Consider the following 24,020-nt stretch of genomic DNA (forward strand, 5'->3'; position numbering starts at 1 on the left):
ATTCAGGAATGAGTCAATATTAAGAATTAATGAACCTGAATCACATCAAGACTTTAAATAAGATGATATCATATAACTATTTTATATAAAGCCACTAAGGTGTTTGATAAAACTCAACATCCTTTTATTAAAAATTCTTTAAAATGCTGGAATATAAGTGTGCTTGCTCACCATGATAGAGGTTCATGAGTATCAAACCTCTCATTAGTATCATACTTAATAGAAATGCTAGAGAGAAATCTATAACAGGCTGGGCATGGTGGCTCACGCCTGTAATCCCAGCACTTTGGGAGGCCAGGGCAGGCAGATCACTTGAGGTCAGGAGTTCGAGACCAGCCTGGCCAACATAGTGAAACCCCATCTTTACTAAAAATACGAAAGTTAGCTAGATGTGGTGGTGCACATCTGTAATCTCAGCTACTTGGGTGGCTGAGGCAGGAGAATCGTTTGAACCTGGGAGGCAGAGGTTGCAGTTAGCCAAAATTGCACTACTGCACTCCCACCTGGGCGATAGAGCAAGACTCTGCCTCAAAATAAATAAATAAATAAATCTGTAAGAATTGAAATCAGAATAAATGTGCCCACCATCTCATTACCCTCTAACATTATTTTGGAAGTTCTGGGAAATACAGTAAAATGAGGGGAAAATCATTGCTTTAGCAAATGAAGGAACAAAATTACTATGACTTGTAGCTATGATTATTTATCCTATAACAAGATATACCAAGTCTTTTTTTTTTTTTTTTTACTTTTTACTTGGAAATTATTACAGATTCACAAGAAGCTGTAAAACTAACTCGGAATCAAAAAGTCTGATAATAACAAGTGTTGGTGAGGATATGGAAAAATTGGAACCCCCATAACCTGCTGGTGGGAATGTAAAATGGTACTGTCACTTTGGAAAACAGTCTGTCATTTCCTCAGTTGATTAAACATAGAAATACCGTATGATCCAGCAATCCCACTTCTATGAATATATACCAAAGAAAATTGAAAGTGTATATCCACATAAAAACTCACACATATGTGTTCACAGCAGTGTTAGCCAAAAGTAAGAAACAACACAACGCATCACCTGATGAATGGGTAGACAATTTGTGGTGTATCCTTACAATGCAATATCATTCAGCCATAAAAAGGAATGAAGTACCGATATATGCTACAACACGGATAAACTTTGTAAATGTTACGCTAAGTGAAAGAAGCCAGTCACAAAAGACCACATACTATATGATTCCCTTTATGTGAAGTGCCCAGAAGAGGCAAGTCTATAGAGACAGAAAGAAGGTTAGTGGTTGCTTAAGAGTTTGGTGTGGGAGATAGGGGAATGATGGCTAAAGGGTTCAGGGTTCTTTTTGATGTGTTAAAAATATTCTAGAACTGACTGTGGTTTTAAAAATAACAGTAATACAGAAAGGTCGTATGTGCTCTTCATCAGGTTTCCTCCAATGCTAACAATGGTACAGTAACACAGCCTGTAGAATGACATTGATACAATCCACAGACCTTATTCAGAGTTCACCAGCATTACATGTACTTGTGTGTGTTTAGTTCCATGCAATTTTATCATATTTATAGATTTATGTAACCCCCACCATAATCAAGTTACTCCAGCACCATTTGTTGAAAGTGCTATTCTTCCTCCATCGAGTTACTTTTGCATCATTTTCAAAATCTAGTTCAGCACATCTATATGGGTCTATTTCTGGGTTCTTTATTTTGTTCTTGTTCAAATATGTGTCCCTCTGCTAATCACACTGTCGTGATCAACTTTAGCTATAAAGTAAGCCCTAACATCAGATAAATTCCCTTAACGTTTTTCTTCTTTTTCAAAATCATTTTAGCCATTTTAGGTTTTTTCCTTTTCATATATACTTTCAAACAAACTTATCTATGTCTACCAAAAGGCTTGCTGTGATTTTGATAGTAATTGCATGAAATTTATAGATCAATTTGGAGATAATTGACATTTTTATTCTGTTAAGTCTTTTAACCCATAAACATGATATAGAGAGCCTCCTTGATTGCTTTCAACATTTTGTAATTTTCAGCTTATGGATCCTGTACATGTTTTAACAATATGTACACAATCATTTTAATTTTCAGGTTTATTGTTAAATTGATTAAATTGAGCAAGGAAATTGATAAGACATATGTCAACCATGTGAAATAAGCCCTTAGAGTATGTATGTAAAAATTAGCAAAACCATTTAGAGTATATGATAAAAAGAGATCACATGCAGAACAGCATCAAAAAAAAAATTGTATACCTAAGGGATACTTTTTTTTTTTTCAATAGCTTTTGGGGTATAAGCGTTTTTTTTGTTACATGGGTGAATTATATAGCAGTGAATTATAAGATTTTAGTGCTCCTGTCACCCAAGCAGTGTACATTATACTTACTGTATAGTTTTTTATCTGTAGCCCCACTCCCACCCTTTCCCTTCTGAGTCTCTAAAGTTCATTATACCCCTGTTTGCGTTTGTATCCTCATAGCTTAACTCCCATTTATAGGTGAGAGCATATGGTTTTTGGTTTTCTGCTCCTGTGTTATTCACGTAAAATAATGGCGTCCAGCTCCATCCAAGTTGTTGCAAAGGACATTATTTTGTTCTTTTTCATGGCTGAGTAGTATTCCATGGTGTATATATGCCACATTTTCTCTATCCACTCATTAGTTGATGGTCACTTAGGTTGGGTCCACATCTTTGGCAGTTGTCAATTGTGCTGCTATAAAGGTACGTGTGCAAGTGTGTTTTTCATGTAATGTCTTCTTTTCCTTTGGGTAGATACCCAGTAGTGGGATTGCTGGATCAAATGGTAGATCTGCTTTTAGCTTTTAAGGAATCTCTATACTGTTTTCCATAGAGGTTGTACTAATTGGGACAATAAATTTTTTAAAGACATCAGTAACAGATTTCTCAAGCCCTAAACTGAACATTGCATTAAATTGTGAAGGAATTATGCTAATGAAAGCATAATTTAGGAAGTAAATTAAAAGTTAGTAATTCCACCTTCCCATTCACTACTTTTATAGGATTCTATTAGAAACTCTAAATAAGTAAATGAAATTATAATTAATAATGATATTGAACACACCTACTCAAACCCCACAGCCTTGAGATCAGTCATAGATATTTTGAAAGGACTGGTTTCATGTGCTTAGAGCTGCTTACATCATATTTTCTTTTATGTCTATGAACATTTTGTCCTAATAATCGGTATTAAATTTTATGTCATTGTAATAGAGCGTGCTTGCATGTTGGAGTTGGGAAGATTGGCCTAGAATCCAGGATGGTAATTTACACCTGTGTGAGGAATAGTAGAAACTTATATGACCTTAGGGAAAGTACCTAAACTCTCTAAATCTCAGTTTCTTCATCTGAAAAATAGGAATAATTCCTTAAAGAGCTCTAATGACGAGTAAGCGAGCTAATGTATGTAAACAAATGTGGTGACTGGAAAGTAAGGATATTTGATTAATTTAATTTTATTTATTAATTTTTTCGAGACACGATCTCACTCTGTCACCCAGTCTGGAATGTAGTGGCGTGATCATGGCTCACTGCAGCCTCCTGAGTAACTGAGACTACAGGCACGTGCCACCACGCCCAGCTAATTTATTTTTATTTTTTCTTAGAGACGGGTCTCCTTATGTTGCTCAGTCTGGTCTTGAGCTCCTGGCTTCAAGTGATCCTCCCACCTCAGTTTCCCAAAGTGTTGGGATTGCAGGCATGAGCCACTGTATCTGGCCTGATAAATTTTAGATGATCCCAGTCACTGAACTCTTCCCACACTTCCCAACTCCCTGGCCCTAGGGGCAGATAGTAAACATTTCAGGCTTTGCCAATCATGCTACTCAACTTTGCCCCTGTAGTATGAAAGCAGCCATAGGCAAAATGTAAATGAATGGCATGGTTATGTTTCTACAAAGCTTTATTTTTGGGCTCTGAAATTTGAATTTTATGTAATTTTTCTCGCACAAAATATTCCTCTTGGTTTTTGTTTTTAATTTAAAATTGGAAAATTCATTCTTAGCTCTTGGTCCATAAAAAATAAGCCGGATTTAGCATTGGCCATAGTTTACCCACCTCCATACAGAGCATGTCTGCGAGTCATATAATGAATTCATATGGAATAGCATTAGGCAGCAGTATTCTCAGTGGCTAGGAAATGTGCTTTGGAAAAGAAAGACTTCAGTTTGGATCCCGGCTTTGCCACTTAGTAGTTTGATCTTGGATAAGTTACCTTACCTTTCATCTCTAAGCTTCAGTTTGTTCACCTATAAAATTGTGACTTTTTATGAGGTTTAAATAAGTTAATACAGAAAAAGGGACTGCCTCATATAAATCTCCATAAATGGGAGCTGTAAATGTCTACATTCTTCCTTCTTTCATTGCCTTCTTTTGCATTTCATCATGATCTGCTACACCAAAACCCCACAAGCAACAGTAAGGCATTTCCCATGACCAGCATAAAATCTTGTTTTATTCCAGAAAATCACGTGTAACCCTTCTCACTTCCAAATTTGCCTTTGAAAACTTTTTGCAGACTTACCCAGAGCCTTGAGGTGTTAGATTACCTGGAGAACAGACCCTCTTCTCCCCTCAACTGTAAAAACACCAGAGAGGGCATTCGGAGCATCTCAGAATCCCAAGTTCAGTCAAAATGGATTGCCAGTCACTTGCAGGGAGAGAAATGGCTAATAAACAGGGTCTTCAGGTTTGCTCTTGAGCAGCCTTTTTTTCCCATGCCCCTAAAAGAAAGAAATATACTGAAGACAGAGTAAAACATGCAAACCAGCCCTTTGGCCAAGCCAACCTAGAACTCTAGTGAGCTCAGCTGGATCATGGGGAGGACCCTTTGGGCTTGGGCCATATTGAAGTGAGGGTCCAGGAGCCAGAAGCTCAGTCCAGTTGCATTCCTCCATCCAGTTCTGGATCTCAGATGTGAGGCAGAGGTGATGCAGAATCAGGCAATCTCTACACCAGTGAAAAGAGCCTGCAGACAGCAGTCTTGATCACAGCTGGCTGCCAGGGCTGAACCCGTAGTTTTAGCTGAAATACGTTTGAAAGAGGAGGGCTTGGGTTTATTAGCGAATCCTGCCTCTCATTGGTAGAATGCCTGCATTCTCCCGCCTCTCATTGGTAGAATGCCTGCATTCTCCCGCCTCTCATTGGTAGAATGCCTGCATTCTCCCGCCTCTCATTGGTAGAATGCCTGCATTCTCCCGCCTCTCATTGGTAGAATGCCTGCATTCTCCCGCCTCTCATTGGTAGAATGCCTGCATTCTCCTGCCTCTGAGTTACACAAGCTGTAGACATTTTCAAAACAAAAACAATCTAATCAGGACCATCTTGAGAGAGAAGCTTCTAGATGGCCGTCAAAAATCACAGCTACAGCTCTTTGTGTGTGTTGGTATATGAGATAGATGGGTCTTCACTGGTGCCTGCTTTAGCCTGCTTTGTCTACTGGAGATAAAAGGAAGCTGGTCTGTGTAGTTGAAGGTCGGAAAGGAGTGGTTCGGGGGTACTGAGACTTGAGGCATAGGAAGGAAAGAGGGAGCTTTATTACCCTGTGGCCCTCCCGTCACATCCCTGTCACTGAGGCTCTAAGGCAGGTCTCTGCACCGGGGAAGACCTTGCATCACGATCACAGATCTCAGCCATTTGCTACTTTACCTTTCTCCAGCTGCTCTGCGTTTTGTGTGTAGGTGCTGAAGTAATTTTATCCCTTGATGGTGGTCTCTGTTGCCAGTTGCAGTATTTTTTGAGTTCCCTCAGCCCCTTTTCCTCAGTTGTGACCTGTTGATAGAGCGTCCACTGTAAGTTGTTTGTTCACTGTGGCTTCCTCTCCCAATCTGGAATGATCTTGACAAGAATTAGGGCAATCCGTCACGATTCTGTGTTCCCGCACCCCAGAAGCCCTCACTGGGGAACAGTGCAGATGGGAAAGAATGAAGGAAGCAGCTGCAAACCATATTTTATCTCCAGTCCCCTTCCTGGGTCCCAGAAGCTGGGATTGTGCCAACCCTGTGTGACTAAATTAGCTGCCTAGAGCCTATCAAGCTAAAACTCTGTGTGGCTCCTGAAGCCAAAGTAGATTAACTGACATTGTCTGCCCTGCACTGATCTCACCCCTTGTGGAACTGCCCTCTCTTTGAAAAAAATCTGACGCTTGTCAGTGTTTTTTAAGACTTGAGGTTCAGGGAGGAATATTCCCCTCCTCAGACACCCAGGTAGATTCCTCATACCATGGTGTCCTCCGTGAGGAAGCTGGGGGTGTGCGGTGACTGTCACCATCTGAGGGTTACCAGATGCCCATGGTGAGGGCGGTTGGGGGTGGGTAGGATTTGGCCTTTTCTCTTTTTGCTTCCACCAGAAGACAGTAAACTGCAGTAGACAGTCAGCTTTTGAAGTCAGAGATATTTTTGAGCTACTCAAATCTATGTTCAAATTATGGCTTTACCACTCACCACTGTTGGCTTTGGTCTCTTCACTTGCAAAGTGAAAAATGATGATACCAGTGTTTTGGAGATGCTCTGAAGATTAACAGATGGTGCTTATTAAGTATCTAGTATGTTCCAGCTCTGTTTTATGTGCCATTACCCTGTGTTGGGTGTGTGTAGACACATCCACAAATGCATAGATACTTTGTGTGAATGTATATATCTAGGCCTCTGAGAATAGCAGTTTAGGTGTTGTTGCTAGGTTTCAGCAAATATGAGTTGAAAAGGTTTTCCTGACAGCCCTAAAAATACACACTTAATAGTGAAATTTTGGAAATAAGGAAAAGCATGAAAAAATAATACAAAACACATGAGATGTTCAGTGCCTTTTTCATGTAATGGACATAGGCCTATTTTTAAATTTTTATTTCCTCTAAGATTAGGCCCTATATTCTGTTTTTTAATAATATATTATGAATAATTTACTTCCATAAAACCAATTGTTTTTCTACAATATGATTTTTAATAATGTAGGGTAATCTGTTATCTGGATATATCATAATTTATGTATCAAGTCCTGTGTTATTGAAAACTTGGATTGTTTCATCTACAGCCATACCACCCTGAATGGGCCTAATGTTGTCTGAAAATTGGGTGGTTTCTAGCTTTTCACTATGATGTACTGTGGTTGAGCTTCATGTGGCATAATCTTTACACACATTTATAACTTTTTTTTAAACTAAATTTCTCAAAGCTAGCTGTGTCAAAAGTAAGGACTTTTTAAGGGTTTGGATAGATAGTGACACATTTTCCCCCATGAAGGCTTTGCTATCTTAAGCTTTCATCACTAGTGACCCGCTTCACATCTTCCTCAAATCTGAGTATTAATTTTAATAAGAAACCTTAGCTATTTTAAGTGAAAACTTATTTGCTTATTTATTTTAAAAACATTTTCTGTTCATATTCTTCAGCAGTTATTTTGTTGATTTATGAACACATCACATAGACAGTATATGAAGTCTATTGCCATTACATTCATTGTAAATATTTATTGCCCAGTCTTTTTCATTTTTTATGAGGTTTCTTTAGCTTCTGCTCTCCTCCCCCTGGTCTATCAAAAGTATGTATATTTTGAGTTAAGCATATTAATCGTTTCCTTTATGGCTTCTTATGTTGGTGTTTTTCTTAGGAAATCATTTGTCACCCAAGGATCACAAAAATATCCACTTGGATGTTCTTCCTAAATTATTAATCTGTCTCTGTCTTTAATTTGTTTTGGTATGAGTGTGAGCTAGGGTTCCATTATTTTAATAGACATTACTATATCTTAAAACATTATTAAAACTAGTTATAAAATAAGTTTTAAGAATCAGTAGATATACAAAATTCCAAAACAAAGAATCCAAACAGAAATATATTTCAGAGATTTAAAAAAAAGGGCAGGAAGCTGTGTCTCCTCATAATGAGAAGATTCTACTTTGACAGAGTTTTAGTTAAGTTAATTTTAAATCTCAGATTAACCCTTGTTTGTTACTCACTGAGTTGGCCACTGGGAGTGATAGTACCTGGAATTCACCTTTGCTTGTTTTTCTCTGGATGTCTTTTCAGTTCTATCCCATCTTTCTGGCATCGTCTGTTTTTGGAGCAAGCTGCTCTCCTGAACAGGGGGCATGATTTTGTGGCTCTTTCCAGTCTTCTCATGTCTTTGTTTGAGTTCCCATGCCTTTAGTTTAATGAGTTATTCACCTAGCCTCAAAATCTTGGTTTCCCTATAGCCCTACCTGTTTTGAAAGACAGTGTATGCAGGTGAAAGGTCAAAAAATCACTGATTCCCTGGCAAAGTCAGATGTATTCAGAAGAAGAGCACTGACTCTTGGTATCTCCTGTTTCAGGAGAAGATGAAAGGCAAGAACAAGCTGGTGCCTCGCCTGCTGGGGATCACCAAAGACTCGGTGATGCGCGTGGATGAGAAGACCAAGGAAGTGCTGCAGGAGTGGCCCCTCACCACCGTCAAGCGCTGGGCAGCCTCACCCAAGAGCTTCACACTGGTAGGGACTGGCAGAGGGCAAGGAGAGCACTAGCGTGGCCTTGAGTGATATTGTGGGGACAGGAGAAAGACCAGATTCTTGCCCATTGGGTTTCTCTGGCCTGGGAGAGCCAGCGTGGAGTGAGGAAGATGGTGCAAGCCCATGGGCAGGGAAGGGGATGGGTCCAGAAGTAAAAGAGAGGTCAGCAAGCCTGGGTTTCTTCAGGCACTACTGCTTCTCTGCACTCTACATAAGTCAGCCTCTAGTTCATTATCTAGAAAAAGCCACTCACCCAGATGATTCTCAGTTCTGTGTTCCTGATGACATCCCTAGCATATACTGAAAGGAAACTTTCTAGTGCTCTGAGACACAAAGGCCCCCTCTCTGTTTTAGATGGTCCTAAGCATTGTGATTATCTTGCTGAGGAATGTTTTCCCAGCCTGCCTAGAAAGAGAGCATAGTACACAGTGGAAATAACGTGGACTTTAGGATAGTATTATTATAGAAATCCAGTTTGTCATTTCCCAGCTGTGTGACCTTGTTCAAGTTACCTTTCCTCTCTGAGCCTTAATTTCTTCAGCTATAAAATGGTGATAGTCCTACCTACAGAGCTGCTAGGATTGAATAAGATGAAGATAAGATGCTTAGTATAAAATTTATGGAAAGTAGTGAGAATATGTTTGTTTCAGGTCTTCAGACCTCTGAATTCTTCCTCCTGATTTCAACATTTGTTGTTAGCAGAGTATAACTCTATGCCTTAACTATAGCCACATTTACATGTGAAACACAATAGAGCGGGTGGTTGGTAGGGCAAGATGTGCAATAAGAAAAATCAAAAAGTGCTAGAATTTGTCAGTTCTTAAGACTCTTGAAGTCTCTAGTGAATGCTTGAAATATCACCTCTTATCTATGCAAGATATCATAATAGGACATCAGAAAAAAAACTGTGTAAAGAAGGGGCCATGGAAAGAGTCATTAGTTATCTAATTTGACTATAGATTGATAGGTTCCTGCCAATTATAAGGAATCATCAGAAAACATACCTTCTTTCCTCTTGTAGCTGTAACATTTGTGCCTGTGTGGCCCTCAAAAGATGAATGTTCATACTTAGCTGTGTCCTCATCTTCCATTGCAGGAAGTCATGGATGATTTCTAAATTAGAAAAATCAAGAAATCAATATAAACATATTATTTAGAAATACTAGAAGCAACTGCTAAAAGAGTTGAAAGTGGTTACCTTTGGAGAGGTATGTGGTAGAAAGTGAAGTTGGGAATGGGTAGGACAGGGAACAACTGTGTTTTGTTTTACATCTTGTAATACTATTGGTCTTTTTAAACTAGGTCCAAGTATTTATTGAAAACAAAAATTTATTTAAAAAATGAATAGTTATGATAACCTCATTAACTACCTCAGGCAAAAGAGAGAATAACAGTATTTTGATTAAAGCATAACGTCACATTAAAGCCCATTATACGTAGTGATTTTTTCCTTCCTACTCCTAGCCTTTATTTAATTTCCAAGTGTTTAGAGGTTTTTCTGCTGTCTTTCTACTATTGATTTTTTAGTTTGATTCCATTATGGTCAGAGAACATACTCTGTATGATTTCAGTCCTTTTGAAATTTTAAGGTTTGTTTTTATATCCCAGGATATCCTTTTTGGTGAGTGTTCTACGAGTATTCAAAAAGAACATATATTCTGCTATTATCATGTAAAGTGGGCTCTATAAATACCAGTTAGATCCCTATTAGTTGATGGTGGTGTTCCAGTCTTTTGAATGAATATCTTTGTTAATTTTCTGCCTGGCAGTTTTCTCAGTTGCCGAGAGTGAGGTTCTTAACAGTAATTATGGATTTTTCTACTTTTTCTTTCAGCTCTCAGTTTTTGTTTCATGTAATTTGAAGCTTTGTTGTTTGATGCCTGTACATTTAAGATTCCTCTATCTTAACAGAGAAGTTGTTTTTTCCTTATGTAATGTTATTTTCTGTTAGTAATTTTTGTTTTTCTCTGAAGTCTACTGTATCTAATGTTGACATAGCCACCAATGCTTTTTATAAAACTAATGTGGGCATGATACATCTTTTTCCATCCTTTTATTTTCAACTTGCATATACTGTTATATTTGAAATGAATTCTTGTAGAGAGCATAATTAGTTGGGTTATATTTTTTTAATCCATTCTATCTCAGTTTTAATTGGTATATTTACACTATATTTAAGCTAATTATTGATATGTTAGGGCCCAAGTCTATCATTTTGTAGTTTTTCTGTTTGTCCACTTTATTTCTCTCTCTCTTTTTTTTTTTTTTTTTGCCTTTTCTGTGGGTTACTTGGACACCTTTTTAGAGTTTGTTTGCTTTGTGTGTTACGTTTTGAGCATATCACTTTGTGTAGTGTTCTTAGTGGTTATTTTGGATATTACCATGTCCATATGAAATTAAACACAGTCTACTGGTAATGGCTTTTCCCCCTTAAGTGTAGAAACCTTACTTCCATTTAGGTCTTTTTACCTACCCACTCCCCACACTTTTTGAGTATAATTATTTAAATATTTTTTCAGTATACACATAAGATGGTTATTTTGTCTATAACCACATAAGATGGTGTTACAGCTTCTGCTTTGAACACAAAATGTGATGAAAGAAACTCATGAGGTGAAGAACCGTCTATTACACTTCCCTTTATTTTTATCTACCCCATTGTTCTTCTTGCCTTTCTAAAGTTCCCAGCCTTCTTCTGTTATCATTTTGTGTTTGGAGAGCTTCCTTTAGCTATTTGTTAAGGGTACATCTGCTAGCAACAAATTGACTTTGTGTTTTTTTCCTCTGAGAATGTTATTATTTCCCCTTCATTCATGAAGGATAATTTTGCCAGGTACAGCATTTGGGATTGACAGTTCCTTTCTTTTAGTATCTGAAAAGTGTCATGCCACTTCTTTCTTACCTCCATGGTTTCTAATGATAAATTTGCTGTCATTCAAGTTGGTGTCAATTTGTAGGTAATATGTCATTTTTCTGTGGCTGTTTTTAAGATATTTTTATCTCTAGTTTTCAAAATTCTTGGTATGGGCTTCTTTTTTTTTTTTTTTTTTTTTTTTTTTTTTTATTGGCTGACCCCCCTTCCTCCCTCCCGGACGGGGCAGCTGGCCAGGCGGGGGGCTGACCCCCCCCACCTCCCTCCCGGATGGGGCGGCTGGCCGACCCCCCCACCTCCCTCCCGGACGGGGCGGCTGGCCGGGCAGAGGGGCTCCTCACTTCCCAGTAGGGGCGGCCGGGCAGAGGCGCCCCTCACCTCCCGGACGGGGCGGCCGGCCGGGCGGGGGGCTGACCCCCCCCCACCTCCCTCCCGGACGGGGCGGCTGGCCAGGCAGGGGGCTGACCCCCCCACCTCCCTCCCGGACGGGGTGGCTGCCAGGCGGAGACGCTCCTCACTTCCCAGACGGGGTGGCTGCCGGGCGGAGAGGCTCCTCACTTCTCAGACAGGGCGGCTGCCGGGCGGAGGGGCTCCTCACTTCTCAGACGGGGCGGCCGGGCAGAGACGCTCTTCACCTCCCAGACGGGGTCGCGGCCGGGCAGAGGCGCTCCTCACCTCCCAGACGGGGCGGCGGGACAGAGGCGCTCCCCACATCTCAGACGATGGGCGGCCGGGCAGAGACGCTTCTCACTTCCTAGATGTGATGGCGGCCGGCCGGGAAGAGGCGCTCCTCACTTCTAGATGGGATGGCGGCCGGGCAGAGATGCTCCTCACTTTCCAGACTGGGCAGCCAGGCAGAGGGGCTCCTCATATCCCAGACGATGGGCGGCCAGGCAGAGACGCTCCTTACTTCCCAGACGGGGTGGCGGCCGGGCAGAGGCTGCAATCTCGGCACTTTGGGAGGCCAAGGCGGGCAGCTGGGAGGTGGATGTTGTAGCGAGCCGAGATCACGCCACTGCACTCCAGCCTCGGCACCATTGAGCACTGAGTGAACCAGACTCCGTCTGCAATCCCGGCACCTCGGGAGGCCGAGGCTGGCGGATCACTCGCGGTTAGGAGCTGGAGACCAGCCCGGCCAACACAGCGAAACCCCGTCTCCACCAAAAAAAATACGAAAACCAGTCAGGCGTGGCGGTGCGCGCCTGCAATCGCAGGCACTCGGCAGGCTGAGGCAGGAGAATCAGGCAGGGAGGTTGCAGTGAGCCGAGATGGCAGCAGTACAGTCCAGCTTCGGCTCGGCATCAGAGGGAGACCGTGGAAAGAGAGGGGGAGGGAGACCGTGGGAGAGGGAGAGGGAGAGGGGGAGGGGGAGGGGAGGGGGAGGGGTATGGGCTTCTTAAGATTTCTTCTATTTGGAGTTCACTCAGCTTCTTGAATTTGTGGGTTTAAGTCTTCACTAATTTGGGGAAGTTTTCAGTCATTATTTCTTCAGCTACTCTATTTTTATCCAACACTGTCCTCTCCTGTTACTCTGATGATATTAATGTTAGATCTTTTGTTACTGTCCTATAAGTCCGTGAAGCTCTGTTTTTTAGTTTCTTTTCTCTATATTGTTCAGATTGACTAAATTCTGTTGATCTATTTTCAGGTTTACTGATTTTATTTTTTATTATCTCCACACTACTATTTAGTCTATCCTGTGAGTTTTAAAATTTTGGTTATTGCCTTTTTCAGTTCTGTAATTTCCATTTGGTTCTTTTTTATGACTTCTGTTTCTTTGTTTGAACTTTTTATTCTTTAAAATTTGCTGCAAGAGAATTTGCAATTTATTGGTGAAGCATTTTTATGATGGTTGCTTTAAAATCCTTATAATTCCAATATCTGATTTATTTCAGTGTTGGCATGAGTTGATGATCTGTCATTCATATTGTGGGTGTCCTGGCTCTCGATATGAATATTTATTTTTTTAAGACATCCTAGACATCTTGGTTATTAGGAGACCTGTTTTTTTTGGAGACAGTCTCTCACTCTGTTGCCCAAGCTGGAGTGTAGTGGTGTGATCATAGCTCACCTCCTGGGCTCAAGCGATCCTCCTCCCTCAGCCTCTTGAGGAGCTGGAACTGCAGGCTCATGCCACTATGCCTGGCTAATTAAAAAAAAAAAAATTTATAGAGGTGAAGTCTCACCATGTTGCCCAGGCTGGTCTTGAACTCCTGGGCACAAGTGATCCTCTCGCCTCAACCTCCCAAAGTGGTGGGATCACAGGTATGAGCACTGTGCCCAGCCCATTGGGAGACTTCTGATCTTACTGAAATATTCTGTTATAGCAGGTGGCCACTTTGTTCAAGTTTAGCGTGTAGTATTCTGGCCTACTTTTCAGGGCTTAAGTTGCAATGACAGTTTTATTCTCTGAGCCCTTTCATTGCTATTCTGGACTGATTTTTTCTTTTGACACTAAGGTTCCTGCTCAAACCCTGTTGGTTCTGTCGATGAAGGCAGAAGGCACTTCCCTGGGCTACCTGCTATTGCTGGGTGACCTTCGTTGCAGGAAGCAGAGGGCACTGGAGCTGAGTCTCTTTAAGCCACTGGCTAGAGGGCAGGGAGACACAGGGCTTTACTGTGGCTGCTGCAGCAAAAGGGTCAGACCATCCACCTGCCTGGGTTGTGGAACAGGGCCTGGGAGGGTCTGAGGTTTCCCTGCTCTGCAGCTTCCTGTGAATATCAGCCCAGGTTGTTGAGCTGGAGTTGGAGCTCCTGACTAGTTCCCCAAATTAGTCTCTCTTGGGCTCCCCTTCTCCTAGTTCTTTGACTAAAAGCATGCTTTTCAGGAACTGCTTACTGGAGGTTCCAATGTTCAGGCCTCTACAACTCTTAGTCTTGGGGGTATATGGGATAGGAAAGAAGCCCAAGAACTCAACCACATTGTGGTTTTGCAAGTTCTGAGCCCCCCAGCCAGTCTGTCTTCTCAGTTTTCAGAGCTCTTTTACCGTTGTTGAATATTGTTGAATAAATTTTAGGATATTCATTTGTATTTAGAGAGGAGGAGCAGGGAAAATGAAGTCTATGTCATATTGTTCTAGAGCTGGACCTGCTAGCCTTTAAAATGCTGATATATCTGATTTGGCTATATTTCCTCCATTGCTGTCTTTTCAGGATTTTGGGGAGTATCAGGAAAGCTACTATTCAGTACAAACCACCGAGGGAGAGCAGATATCCCAGCTGATTGCAGGCTACATTGACATCATCCTGAAAAAGGTATTTTGTATTGATGCAAATTGGAAAAGCAAGACGGCTTTATTAAAAGGCTTGGTTTCGATGACGTGGCTACCTTGAAAAAAAAATCCTCTTAAATAATACTTGAGGCCAGGCATGGTGGCTCACGCCTGTAATCCCAACACTTCGGGAGGCTGAGATAGGCAGATCACCTGAGGTCAGGTATTAGAGACCAGTCTGGCCAACATGGCAAAACCCCGTCTCTACTAAAAATACAAAAAAGTTAGCCGGGCGTGGTGGCAGGCGCCTGTAGTCCCAGTTACTCGGGAGGTGGAGGCAGGAGAATCGCTTGAACCTGGGAGGCAGAGGTTGCAGTGAGCTGAGATCACGCCACTGTACTGCAGCCTGGGTGACAGAGCGAGATTCCATCTCAAAAAAAAACAACAAAACTTGATTTACTAATTTAATCTTTAATCACTAATTAAGTGTGAGATCTTTGACCTCAAGATCCTTTGAGAATTCCTGCTTTTTCTGCAGCACATATTTGTGTCATTTACTACCAGGCAGTGAACAATAGCATGTCACTTAGCTAATGAATGAGCCTAGCACCCCTCAGCATCTTCCTCTCCACGTAGCTGTACTGTGCTTTTCAGCCTCTGTGGGAACTTGGATTGAGGGGCCAAAAATGATCTTTGTAGTTTTCATGTTTTTTTTTTAAACAAATGTAATGGGGTTATATGCCATAGTGGTATATAGAAAAACAGATTTCTTAAGGCTTCAAGATACAGCCCATTCAAAAAACCAAGATTTAATAGAATGTTAATATGTGCATCTTGATTTTTTACTATGTAAAATTAAAGTCTGTGCAATAAATACGTGACATCTAACTATATATTAAATCATATATTTCTCTTTTTTATTATTATGCTTTTGTTCATCCATCGCTTACTAAATATCCAGTATAAAGAATTTTGAGTAAACTTCAACACTTTGACTTGTGTCCCTTCAAAATGTTTTTTTAAAGGTCCTTGTATGAAGACCTGCTGATTTTCTTTCTTTTTTTTTTTTTTTTTTTTTTTTTTTTTTTGAGACAGAGTCTCCCTCAGTCGCCCAGGCTGGAGTGCAGTGGCGCTGTCTCGGCTCACTGCAGGCTCCGCCTCCCAGTTCAAGCAATTCTCCTGCCTCAGCTTCCGGTGTAGCTGGGATTACAGGCTCCTGTCACCATGCCAGGCTGATTTATGTATATATATATTTTTTATTAGAGACGGGGTCTCACTGTGTTGACCAGGTTTGTCTCGAACTCCTGACCTCAAGTGATCCGCCCGTCTCAGCCTCCCAAAGTGCTGGGATTAGAGGCGTGAGCCACCGCGCGTGGCCTGGTTTTCATTTTTGCATCTTGTTTTATTGCATTTCCAGAAACAAAGTAAAGATCGATTTGGACTAGAAGGTGATGAGGAGTCAACCATGTTAGAAGAGTCCGTTTCCCCAAAAAAGTAAGTATTATGAAGAGTACTAGAGGACCACCTTCTCCCTAGATAGGTAGGTTTCCTCTTGCCAGCTTGGAGCCTGCTGCTCTGAAGCCTGTCACCTGGAGAAGATGACAGCAGATGATATAGTTGAATCTTCTTCAAGCGTGGTCCCCAGACCAGCAGCATTGAAGTGGCAGACGTCTCGTGAGGGAGGCTGAGGATTTTAGGGAAACATTGACCAAGGTGTGGCATTTTAACTGCGTCTTTTGAGGCAGTAAGTGTTCATGAGTCCTGTTCTGCATTTCTGATTTAAATCTCATGATCGAATCATGATCATTGAGCCGTACCGTCAGGAGGTCAGAGGATGAGCCTCTGTTTGATTCTGGCCCCTTTTGTGGGAGGAGGGAGTGCAGCCAGTGGCGGAGTTACGGTGAAGCACTGCTGCATGCCACGCTTGTCTCGAGTGCTGTGAGGTAGCATAGTGCAGGCGAGTGGTTAAGAATATGGACTCAAATCTGGGGTCTCTGTTTCACTGTGTGGCCCTGGGAAAGTTACTAAATTCTCTTCTGGCATGAGCTTATCTATAAAATGGGGATAATGATATTACCACCTAAGTAGGTTTTATTTCCATGGTAGTTACTAATAAAGCACATAAAACAATGCCTGGCACATAGCACTTGCTATTATAACTATCATCCTCATGATCATTGTTTTAAATTCATGGTATTCTTAATTTAGCCCCATTTATAGATGAGGAGATAGGTTTATTAAAATTAAGTAACATCTAATAAATGGCTCTTTTTGGGAAACCTATCCAGACATCCCTTTTATGTTAATAGAGCAATGTAATGACTGTTCTTGTATGCTTTAGTGTGACATTTTGTCTCATCTGGAATTCCAATAACAACTCCCTATGCAAAAGGGAGGCCAGGGGTCTCAGCCAAGGAGCAACGCAGGAAGAAGTGGAAGGTCTAGCGATGGGGACAATCCTGACCATTCTTCCTGCTTGCCTTGATAAGACCCCACAGTGATGCTCTGGGCAGTGGAGGAGGCTACAGTGGTCCCAGGCAGGATCTATCTTTCCCAGTCCACGGATAAGGAAACTGAAGCTCATGAAAGTTAGTTGAGATACACATATGTGGTAGAGCCAGGACTCAGATTCAGATCTTGCGATGTTTCCCATAGTACGCTGCTAGAAAGTTCTAGCATCTTCCAATCCATTAAACTTGCTTAGCTGTAGTAGTTTCTCTAATATTTTCACCCTTGCTGCCAGTTTCTCACAATTTGCTTCCTAATCACCCAAAAGGTGTTTTTCCATTTGTCCCCACTAGTACGCAAGTTGGAACCAAACTTGATATGATAAGTTTCTAGTACTTGCCACCCTTGGGCAGAGCACCTTAAGTCTTTGGAATTATTCATGACCATTGGATGTAAATTAGTGAGCTAGTGCTCCCTGACAGGGTGATCTGCGTCACTTCAGAGGACTCTGCTGTGCTTTGCTTCCCATAGGAGCGGCCCAGTAAGTGTCTGAGCCCAGAGGGCTGGGACCTTCCCCTGCCTGGGATCACTGTAGCCTCCTCCACTGCCCACAGCATCACTGTGGGGTCTGATCAAGGCAAGCAGGAAGAATGGTCAGGATCGTTCCCATCGCTAGACCTTCCACTTCTTCCTCCATTGGTCCTTGGCTGAGATCTCAGAATGCAACTGACTTCTTACTGGAGCCTCCAGACCAACCTTCCCTGGTGTCTCACCACCCCACCCCTAGACTGCAGTGTTTCTCCATGGATGCCTGTTGCTTGGGATCCCCGCGTGGCTATCGAGCCTTGCTCTGGGCAACAGGGTGCGAGGGCCCTGGGACAGAGGTCCCTGTCTCTTCATGCAGCTGCACCTCCACCTTCCTTCCGCCTCACAACACACACAGACCCTGTTTGTAGGTTTGTCCACTGGGCTTCTGAGGAACATATGCCACCCTCAGACTTTTTACCTTCAGATGATCAGCGTCCTTTGCACTTATTCTTCATTCTAAGACAATATGAAGTAAAAAATGCAATTTTTTGGCTGGGCACTGTGGCTCACGCCTGTATTCCCAGCACTTTGGGAGGCTGAGGCGGGTGGTTCACCTGAGGTCAGGAGTTCAAGACCAGCCTGGCTAATATGGTGAAACCCTGTCTCTACTAAAAATACAGAAAATTAGCCAGGTGTGGTGGCAGGTGCTGGTAATCCCAGCTACTTGGGAGGCTGAGGCAGGAGAATCGCTTGAACCCAGGAGGCAGAGGTTGCAGTGAGCCGAGATCACGCCACTGCACTCCAGTCTGGATGACAAGAGTGAAACTCTGTCTTAAAAAAATAAATTTTAAAAAATGCAATTTTTTCCATTAGATACCTTAAGAATCTTCCCAATATTTAGTTGAAAGCATTTGGGGAAGGTTCCAAAGCCTCACATGGTTGAGGCTCTAGAGGCGATGAAACATCCTCTGTGGTCAATGGTGGTGGACCTGAGGACCCGAGGGAGGGGAGCTAAGATGTGGGAGATTTTCCCCTAGCTTCATTTCCACATTTCCCCTTTCAAGCTAAAGATAAATGATCTGTATCTCTGATGCCTAGAATGGAACCTGGCACAAGGTTGATACTTGTTTAATGAATGTTCTTTCAGATATTATTTACCAAAAATAATATATCAACATATCAATACATTCACTTAAAACCTGGAACATCATTATTATGGGAATCTCTGTGTTGTTGTCATTTTCTCTTCTTGAGACAGAGTCTCACTCTTTTGCCCAGGCTGGAGTACAGTGGCGCGATCATAGCTCACTGCAGCCTCAGGCTCCTGGGCTCAGGTGATCCTCTCACCTCATCCTCTTGAATAGCTAGGACTATAGGCATGTACCACCACTCGGGACTGAGTTGTTGAATTTTTTGTAGAGACGAGGTCTCATTATGTTGCCCAGGCTGGTCTTGAACTCCTAACTTCAAGGAATCCTTCCCATTTGGCCTCCAAAAGGGCTGGGATTACAGGGGTGAGATACTGCACCCGGCCTTGTTTTTTAAATAACAACTAATTGCATAATACCATAAATCTATTAAGTAGATAAATTGGGAGTAATTATTTACATTACTTATCATAAAAGGATTCATCTCAGAGCTCTGCTAAGTGTTGTAATGCCACTTCTTCATTCCTGCTTCTCAGTCTGTATGTGCCTCTTTTAGTTGGCCTTCACAGCATAAAGCAGGGAACATACGTGACATCTGTGGGGTCTCCTCATTGCACTCCACATGGCTGGTGTTCTCTCAGTGACCAAACCACTTTTCCCGGCAGGTCCACCATCTTGCAGCAGCAGTTCAACCGGACCGGGAAGGCAGAGCACGGCTCAGTGGCGCTGCCGGCCGTGATGCGCTCGGGCTCCAGCGGGCCTGAGACCTTCAACGTTGGCAGCATGCCCTCGCCACAGCAGCAGGTCATGGTTGGGCAGATGCACCGAGGCCACATGCCGCCACTGGTGAGGCTTCCTGTGCTCGTCCCCCACTCGTTAGTCTGCTGCCTCCCGCATGCAGGGTGGACACCAGCGGCGGTGATGGGCTGAGTGTTGGAACGCTCTCTATTTCCCGGCTGAACCATGCCTCGTTCAGCTGTGCATTTTTTAAATTGGATGACTCGGATCACTGCCTGTTTAGTATCGGAGGTGTCCTCTGTGACTGGAAAATTAGGGAGCTCTTAACATGACTTGTGTACAGGGACAGAACTCTGCTCCCGTGTCCTGGCAGCATCAAGCTGATTGGGCCAGATACCCCTAGGAAAGTCTGAGAAGTCGACCAGGTTTTTAGTGATTTTGAGGTTTCACGCTGGGAGTCATTGATTCCTTTCCACTGTGCTGGTCTGTCCGGCTCAGTGCCTCTCAGGCCGGCCTTGGGACTCCCTTGCTATTGTGTGAGAACTTTTCGAAAGCTCAGGAACAACACTTGTCTCTGAAAAAGTACATTGACCGTAGATTTAGATGGAGTCCTTAAGTGTCTATCAGGAAGCATTCTCATTTAACACCCACGTGTTTCCTGTGCGTGAGGAGGTCCTCAGTACTCAAAGATTGGATCACCCCAGTTCCCCAGCAAGGACTCTTCTGAGCCTTCTTGTCAGCTAATTAAGCTCTTCACACACTTCTGATTATAATCCCTCCGTGGCAATCACCTTCATTTTGTGTTCTATTAATATAATGCAGTATCTATTTCTGGCCTCCAGGTTGAAATGGGAGATGGTTGAGGCGCTTGTTGAGATGTAGCCTGGGCTGCTTTGTCTTGAGTGCAGAGTTCTGTTTTGCTTTGTTTTGCATAAAGGGCCATGTCGGTCCCAGGCGTGTGGGATGACAGCTTTGTTTCATTTGCCTTTGCAGACCTCAGCCCAGCAGGCCCTGATGGGGACCATCAACACAAGCATGCACGCCGTCCAGCAGGCCCAGGATGATCTCAGTGAGCTCGACTCGCTGCCACCTCTCGGCCAGGATATGGTAAATACTGTTCAGTGGTTTTCATGCCAAGTCTCTGCCCTGGCAGAAAGCAGGGTTATATACTCTGTCGGGATTCATCTAGGTAAATTTCTATCTCTAGGTGAAATGGAAACCCATGATTTTTTCAGGATATTGAGTCTTTGCCTCTCAGTTGCACCCATAGGAGGAGAGAATCATAGGGTACTGCTGGCTGTTGGCAGTACCACGGGTGGGCTGAGAACTTGAACCCTAGGATCCTGTGACCTGGGTTCAAACACCAGCTCCAGTACTGGCTGTGTGAATCTGGGCTACTTGCCTTCTCAATTCCTCCACTTTGTCATCTGTAAATAGAGTTGTTATGAAGATGCAATGATCTAATCACCTGTAGAGTTCTTAGCACAGCCCCTCGCACATAGTAAGAGCTCAGTAAGCATTAGCTGTTTGTTAGTTTTATTGCTACCCGTGGTTCTCAAGCTGTAGCATCCATCAGCATCATCCGAAGGGCCTGTTAAAATGAATGTTGCTGGACTCTTCCTCTATTTTTTTTTTTTTGGATCTTGGGTAGGGCCTGAGATTTTGCATTTGCAACAAGATCTCAGGTGATGCCAACACTGCATGCCTGGGGACTGTGCTTTGAGAAGCACTGGCTTACTACCACTGAGCTTTTCAGCAAGGTAGGGTGATTAACCCAGAGATCTTCCTGTAGCTGCTGCTGCATGAAATCTTCCAACTCCTCACTGCTCAAATCGTGGTCCCAGGACCAGCAGCATTGGCAATTCCTAGGGTCTTGTAAGAGGTGCAGAATCTTGGGCCTTCCCCAGCCTACTCAAACAGAATCTGCATTTTAGCCAAGTTCCCAGCTTCTTTGGGTGACCATTAAAGTTTGAGAAGCACCGGCTAGCGCTGTCATTCTCAACCCTGCTTTGTACGTTAGAATCATCCTAGGAACTTTAAAAACAAAGCCCAAAGCACCAGTTCTGACCAAATAAATCGTTGTTGCTGTGGGTGGAGCCTGAGAATCAGTGGTTTTTATTCTCCCCAGGTGATTCTAATGGCCAGTCAGGGTTGACAACCACTGTTGTAGGACTGACTGGTGCCATCACAGGGGCCAGAACCAAGATACAGTCTGTAGCCTCATCTTGTCCTGCCAGGATAACTGCCCTCCAAGTTCTCCCAGAATGCTGAGTTTTTCATTTGCACAGTTGTGTGCGTGGAGGTTGCTGGTAAACTCAGCGCCATTTCTCCCAGGTACCCAAAAACAATAAACATTTGCTTTGGGGAACTCCAGAGTACAAACATGTATGGCAGACTCCCATATCCAGTATAATTGGTAGAGTTTTAAAATATTTAAGATTTAACATTCCTGCTTCACCAGTTTTCAAAGAATTAGAATGCCATAAATTATTTCTAGTGCTAGTCACATCCTGAACATAGATGAGTATTTTTGGGATGTTTTGGGAAGCAGATGAGCACCTTACTGCAGGGTCATCATTATCAAGATAAATGATCATTTATTAGGTAAGTTCTGAAATGTCAGAAAATAGAGAACTTGCTATTTATAGGTTCAAATAAACGTAAAGTATAAGAGCTGGAAAGGTTTTTAAAAACCATTGAATTTCCATGGTAGAAGAAGTATAAGGCACAGGACCTGCCTATGATTTGCCCGAGGTCCTGTCACCTGCTAGTGGTAGATCTGGATCCAGAACAGGGATCTCAACCCATCCCCTCATCTTACCAGGAAAGGTCTTACCGTCTACATGAGCATGGCCCTTAGTTGTCTTTACGACAATGCACGTTGTAAGCAAGAGGCATTTCCTACATTGACAGAGAACATGTCTAAGTTGAAACACCCTCTTTCTCACCCTGCACCCTGCAAAGCAAGGTGAAAATTAGCAACAACTATTAGTGCTAATGTGCAGTATTATGATGAAACATTGATTTTTCTCTCCTCATTCTTTTTCACTTGAATTTTTCTAAATAAGGCCACGTGGAATTTTTCTCCCTAAGATCTTAAAAGTTAAAAACACAAACAACATAATTAACATAAGACACAAGGGAGAATTTGCACGCCATTGAGTATCTCTTGCTCCTTAAGAGGCCTGTTAAGGATACTGTTTAGGATAACTTAAGGGCCCTGTCGGTGCTGGCCTCATAAGAAGAATGTAGCCAAAATGCTGGTGTGATTTTATGGCGGGGCTTCTCCGGTCTCCTGGGTAATTCTGTGCTGTGATTGTGTTGTGCCGTTGTCTGGCTTTGCAGGCATCTAGGGTATGGGTTCAGAACAAAGTCGACGAATCCAAACACGAAATCCATTCTCAAGTTGATGCTATCACGGCCGGAACGGCTTCAGTTGTTAACCTCACAGCTGGTAAGTCCCGGAGAGATTTGTGCTGCATTGGGGTTTTGTTTAAAAGCTGTGTTTTTTTTTTTAATTTTAAAAAATAAGTTATCTGTTGATTGAAACAATAGACTTTATATTATGAGAGGATAGTCTAAGGCACTTTTAGTGCTGTAGGCATTTTCTCCCAGTGACCCAGGAGAGTGGGAAGGAACATCTCATTGCTTTTTGCCTGTATCATGCATCCTCATTAAAAAGCATCTATTCAGATCTTCTCACGGCTTGTCAGTGTGCCGGACATACTGCAAAGTCTACTGAGGCTACTTTCTGCCTTCTGGGCACCTACAGTTGGAAAATGGTTTTGAATGAACAGACCTGTCATATGTGCCTTTGCCCATGTTGTCCAGCAGTGGTCTCTTCTGGCACAGTGTGGCTCCCAGCCTTTCACTGTCAGAGGAGAGCTGGGAACTTGCTTGTTTCACCCTGCAGCAGCCTTTCAGGAGCAGAGTTGACCCCCTGAGCTGCTGACAGGGGCCTAATGAAAAGGGCTGTGAGATGCCGAGACATCCTCTGGATTTTTAAAGGTGGTTGTACTCAGTATTTCAGTGCATGAGGCCTCCAGGTGAAAGGGCCTTTTTGAAGTCACCTCGGAGACAGGGAGCAGGCCAGCTCACTGTGCTCATGTGAAGCTTGGTGTCTGACTCCTGCAGGATGGTAGGTGAGGAACTCCTGCCAGTGTGGGGTTTTGAAAATTCTCACCAGAACCATGTGCCCTCCTTTGATGGGGATGGTTCTTTTCTGTGCCAGGTGACCCTGCAGACACTGACTACACAGCTGTGGGATGTGCGATCACCACTATTTCTTCCAACCTGACGGAGATGTCCAAGGGTGTGAAGCTATTGGCCGCCCTCATGGATGATGAGGTGGGCAGCGGGGAGGACTTGCTCAGAGCTGCCAGGACCCTCGCTGGGGCGGTGTCAGACTTGCTGAAAGCTGTGCAGCCTACTTCTGGAGAGGTAAGCTCCAGAGGCAAGCAATCACTCAGGTTCTGATGGGACAGCTGCATCCACTGGGGGACCATGGGGCTCTTGCTTCCCGAGCTGTTCCTTGCGTCTTGATGGGGTGTGTTTCTCTCT

At 43.0% G+C, this 24,020-nt stretch overlaps 1 protein-coding gene and 1 long non-coding RNA gene across 4 annotated transcripts in view, besides 2 other annotated features; one reads left to right on the forward strand and one right to left on the reverse strand.

Annotated features, from left to right (window-relative positions):
* Positions 1-9,725, reverse strand: part of LOC105370855 (uncharacterized) — a 28,962-nt gene extending 19,237 nt beyond the window's left edge. The window contains exons 1-3 of one of the 2 annotated variants that reach the window (XR_007064673.1): positions 9,519-9,725; positions 5,682-5,804; positions 4,558-4,756 (exon numbers count right to left, since the gene is read on the reverse strand). This is a non-coding gene — a long non-coding RNA (uncharacterized LOC105370855). Of the gene's footprint in view, positions 1-4,557; positions 4,757-5,681; positions 5,943-9,518 lie in introns of those variants that run through there. The other variant, XR_007064672.1, reaches the window with a different exon arrangement.
* TLN2 (talin 2) overlaps positions 1-24,020 on the forward strand; it is a 454,082-nt gene that overhangs the window by 287,751 nt on the left and 142,311 nt on the right. For both annotated transcript variants that reach the window (NM_015059.3, NM_001394547.1), the window contains 7 exons: positions 8,341-8,496; positions 14,540-14,641; positions 16,016-16,092; positions 19,388-19,568; positions 20,454-20,567; positions 22,806-22,914; positions 23,692-23,900. In NM_015059.3, the coding sequence (NP_055874.2) occupies positions 8,341-8,496; positions 14,540-14,641; positions 16,016-16,092; positions 19,388-19,568; positions 20,454-20,567; positions 22,806-22,914; positions 23,692-23,900 (948 nt within the window). The remainder of the gene's footprint in view (positions 1-8,340; positions 8,497-14,539; positions 14,642-16,015; positions 16,093-19,387; positions 19,569-20,453; positions 20,568-22,805; positions 22,915-23,691; positions 23,901-24,020) is intronic.
* Positions 12,180-13,034: an enhancer, noted in NCBI's record as "H3K27ac hESC enhancer chr15:62982679-62983533 (GRCh37/hg19 assembly coordinates)". NCBI's record gives its function as "activates a minimal SCP1, AML or CMV promoter by ChIP-STARR-seq in naive H9 embryonic stem cells {active_cell/tissue: H9 hESC(naive)}" and the evidence as "EXISTENCE:reporter gene assay evidence [ECO:0000049][PMID:30033119]".
* Positions 20,330-20,624: an enhancer, noted in NCBI's record as "tiled region #9569; K562 Activating non-DNase unmatched - State 21:Repr". NCBI's record gives its function as "activates a minimal TATA promoter and a strong SV40 promoter by Sharpr-MPRA in K562 cells {active_cell/tissue: K562}" and the evidence as "EXISTENCE:reporter gene assay evidence [ECO:0000049][PMID:27701403]".

Source organism: Homo sapiens, chromosome 15 (genome assembly GCF_000001405.40).
Source record: "Homo sapiens chromosome 15, GRCh38.p14 Primary Assembly".
NCBI classification, from domain to species: domain Eukaryota; kingdom Metazoa; phylum Chordata; class Mammalia; order Primates; family Hominidae; genus Homo; species Homo sapiens.